Here is a 3,991-nt window from a genome sequence, read left to right on the forward strand (position 1 = left end):
TTTGGAGAGAGGTGGAGAAGATGAGGTTCTCTGTGTGCTTTCTTCCTGCTGAAAGGTGGCCCTCCAAAAGATGTGTCCGTGGAAGTCTGAGGCGGGCAGATCACTTGACGTCAGGAGTTCAAGACCAGCCTGGCCAACATGGTGAAACCCTGTTTCTACTAAAAATACAAAAAAATTAGCCAGGTGTGGTGATGTGCACCTGTAATCCCAGTTACACAGGAGGCTGAGGCAGGAGAATCACTTGAACCCGGGAGGTGGAGGCTGCAGTGGGCCGGGATCATGCCACTACACTCCAGCATGGGCGACAGAGCCAGACTCCATCCCCGCCCCCAAAAAAGATATGTTCACATCCTAACCCCTAGATCCTGTGAATGTGGTCTTATTTGGAAAAAGGATCTTTCTTTGCAGATGTAATTAGTTAACGATTTTCTGACAAGATCTTCCTAGATTATTCAGGCAGGCCCTAAATGCAGTGTCAAGTGTTCTTAGAACAGACAGGAGAGCAGGAGACACTCACACAGAAGCAGAGGCCTTGTGATGATGGAGGTGGAGACTGGAGGGAAGCAGCCAGCAGCCAGGAACACCTGGAGCCGCTAGAAGCTGGGAGAGGCAAGGGCAGATCCTCCCCAGAGCCTTTGGAGGAAGTGTGGCCCGGCTGGCACCGCGATTTCAGGTTTCTGGCCTCCAGAACTGTGAGAGGATAAATTTCTGTTGTTTCAAGACCCCAGTTCGTGGTCATTTGTTACAGTAGCCCCAGGCTGCGATCAACTTTAATGAACATTTATTGATTTTATTTTTATTATTTTTTTACTTTTAGGTTCAAGGGTACATATGCAGGTTTCTTACACAGGTAAACTCATGTCACGGGGGTTTGTTGTACAGATTATTTCATCACCCAGGTACTGAGCCTAGTACCCAATAGTTCTTCTTTCTGCTCCTCTCCCTCCACCCTCCACTCTCTGATGGGCCCCCGTGTCTGTTGTTCCCCTCTTTGTGTCCATGAGTTCTCATCATTTAACTCCCACGTGTAAGTGAGAACATGCGGTATTTGGTTTTCTGTTCCTATGTCAGTTTGCTAAAGACGATGGCCTCCAGCTCCATCCATGTTCCTGCAGAAGAATGACCTCATTGCTTGTTATGGCTGCATAGTATCCCATGGTGTATATGTACCACATTTTTGTTATCCAATCTGTCATTGACGGGCATTTAAGTTGATTCCATGTCTTTGCTACTGAGAACAGTGCTGCAGTGAACATTCACGTGCATGTGTCTATAGAGTAGAATGATTAGTTTAAATGGGCAGGGCTGAGACCTATGACTGTTTGTCCTTGCTCCATTCCAGGCATACGGCTCTCTTCTGGTACCCACAGTCTCCAAGCCTTGGCCAGAGAGGAATGGCCTGCCTTTCCTTTTTGGAAACGTCTCCAATCAATCTCTTGTGTATCGCATTATCTTTCCGGTGTTCTGCCTTTCTCCAAACGCCCCCGTGCGTTTTCAAGGTTTATAGACGCGTATCTTGAACTTTAGGTGTTGAGATTTTTTGGTCCATCTTTGACAACACATCTGCAGGAAGAAAGCATGAGTTGATCAAAAAGGAAGAAAAAGCTACAAAATCTAGGGCATTATTATTCAGAGGACATTTTCTGGTAGAGTTAGGATAAATTTTTTCCAATAAATTAATTTTACAGACTTTTAAGACAGAGCTTTTAGATTAATGGAAATATTACTTAAATTTAAGTTCAGCCCATTAAGTCATCAATCATATTGTTGTTGTAACATCATGTATTTCATGTTCATGACACACACAAATAAAAAAGAAACGACCCAAGAAAGTGATTTGCTTTACTGCTTGGGGTGACCAGAGCCAAATGCTTGAAAAGATTTTTACCGTTAGTGGCTAAAGCTGAGAGCTTTAACCTGGAGCTGCCGCGAGCTGCCAGAGCAGAGGATGAAGCACGGTCGGATGAAGATCTGCAGCCTCAGGATGAAGATCTGCAGCCTCAGGATGAAGATCTGCAGCCTCAGGCGACGCTCTTCAGTGCGACAAGGAGGAAGCAACTTCCATATTCCCCACACGGAGTAAGAACGCAACTTCCTTACGCGCGTCTGTTTTCTATCTTCCTCCATTCGATTTTTCTTCAGTTTCCCTAATACATTAATTAGCTGATTCCTATTCTAAGTCCTTTGCTCATTTTATTTTCTTCTCTGCTTCCCTCCAGTTCTGCTCAGTTTGTGCTACCCCTGAGTCTGGAAGACTGACATTTTCTCCGCTCTCAACTTCCTCTGCTCTTTCCCATGCAGTTCCGGTTCTCACTGTGGCCTTCAGCTCAACCTAGTGCTTTCCTGCACATTAGAAAAGCCATGCCCATTTTGGATGGGTGAACTGCAAAATGCTTCCTGCTCTGGGTGGTCATAGACCCGTTGTAATAGTCCGTTCTCACACTGCTAATTACCCACGGAGACTGGGTAATTTACGAAGAAAAGAGGTTTAGTTGACTCACAGTTTCACAGGCTGTACAGGAAGCATGGCTGGGAGGCCTCAGAAAACTAACAATCATGGCGGAAGGCGAAGGGGAAGCAAGCACCTTCACGTGGGGGCAGGAGAGAGAGAGAGAGAGAGTGAGAGAGAGTGAAGGGAGAAGTGCCACACACTTTTAACCATCAGTTCTCGTGAGAACTCCTCACTATCACAAGAACAGCAAGGGGGAAATCCACCCCATGGTCCAATCAACCCCCACTAGGCCCCTCCTCCAATTCCATATGAGATTTGAGCAAGGACACAAGTCCAAACCATATCACCCATATTGTTTTGGACTGAATGTTTGTGTCCCCACAAAATACACATATTGAAATCCTAACCCCCCCAGGTGATGGTATTAGGATGGTTTTAGGGATCACTTTTGGGAGGTGACCAGGTCATGAAGCTTCATCAGGGAGTTTATACGAGAGCCTCCAGAGAGCTCCCTGGCCCTCTTTCTGACATGTGAGGACACAGTGACAAAATGGCCTTCTATGAACCAGGATGTGGGCTCTCACCAGACCCCAATCATGCTGGCACCCTGATCTTGAACTTCCAGTCCCCTGACTGTGAGAAGTAAGTTTCTGGTGTTCATAAGCCACGACCTATTCAGTTACAGCAGCCAGAATGGACAAAGCCACATATGCCCAGAGCCCAACCAGGGGTACAGGGTGGATCTGCACCCCATTTAGGCCCGTGACTGAGTGACTTTGTGCAGCACAGATGCAGCACACTCATCTTGGTGTCCCTGCCCCGCCATCTCCACTGCCCCTTCCTCAATCCGTTGGGCTCTTTGCTCCTCGCTGGCCTGTCCACCACTGGACCCTCTGCTCCACCTTTCAAATGTGCTCCTTGTGGTGCCCTTGAGTCCTTTTCCTCCTTTTCTACACATCCCGTGGGTGTGTAGACAAGACTGCTCTCAGGTGTGCCATGGGCCCCTCAGCCTGGTATATGTACCTGGCAGGATGGCGCTGCCACCCCCAGGACGCCTTTTCCAAGAGCTCCATAGGTGACTGTTGAATGGATGAACGCGTTGCTTCCTGATGTTAAAACTTTAGCCTAGAGCTGCTTCCTTGTAAGTTGGGCCTAAAGGTTTCTTTGTACATAGTGAGCTATCACTTAGGTGGACATGTAAACAGACTGTAATTAATCTACTCTTGTACCAGTCCCTGAGTTTTGGCCAATCGCAGGTGGTCAACCACTCAAACAAGGCAAACGCCCAGCTGTCACTAATCCGGCTGTGTCTGCACCTGACTTCCGTTTTCTGGGCATCACTTTCCTTTCTCTGTTCATAAATCCTCTCCCACTCTGTGGCAGCACGAGAGTCTCTCTGACCCTATTCTGGTTCGGGGGTTGCCCGATTTGCGAATCATTCCTTGCTCAATTAAACTCTGTTAAATTTAATTTGTCTAAAGTTTTTCTTTTAACACTGCCAACCAACCCATCAATCTCCCGTGGCTTTCTCTCCCTGCT

At 47.2% G+C, this 3,991-nt stretch overlaps 1 annotated feature.

Moving 5' to 3' along the window:
- Positions 1,742-2,941: an enhancer, noted in NCBI's record as "BRD4-independent group 4 enhancer chr6:164039878-164041077 (GRCh37/hg19 assembly coordinates)". NCBI's record gives its function as "activates an origin of replication core promoter dependent on BRD2, P300/CBP, MED14 and CDK7 cofactors, and independent of BRD4, by STARR-seq in HCT116 cells {active_cell/tissue: HCT116}" and the evidence as "EXISTENCE:reporter gene assay evidence [ECO:0000049][PMID:35650434]".

This window comes from Homo sapiens, chromosome 6 (assembly GCF_000001405.40).
Source record: "Homo sapiens chromosome 6, GRCh38.p14 Primary Assembly".
Classification (NCBI taxonomy): domain Eukaryota; kingdom Metazoa; phylum Chordata; class Mammalia; order Primates; family Hominidae; genus Homo; species Homo sapiens.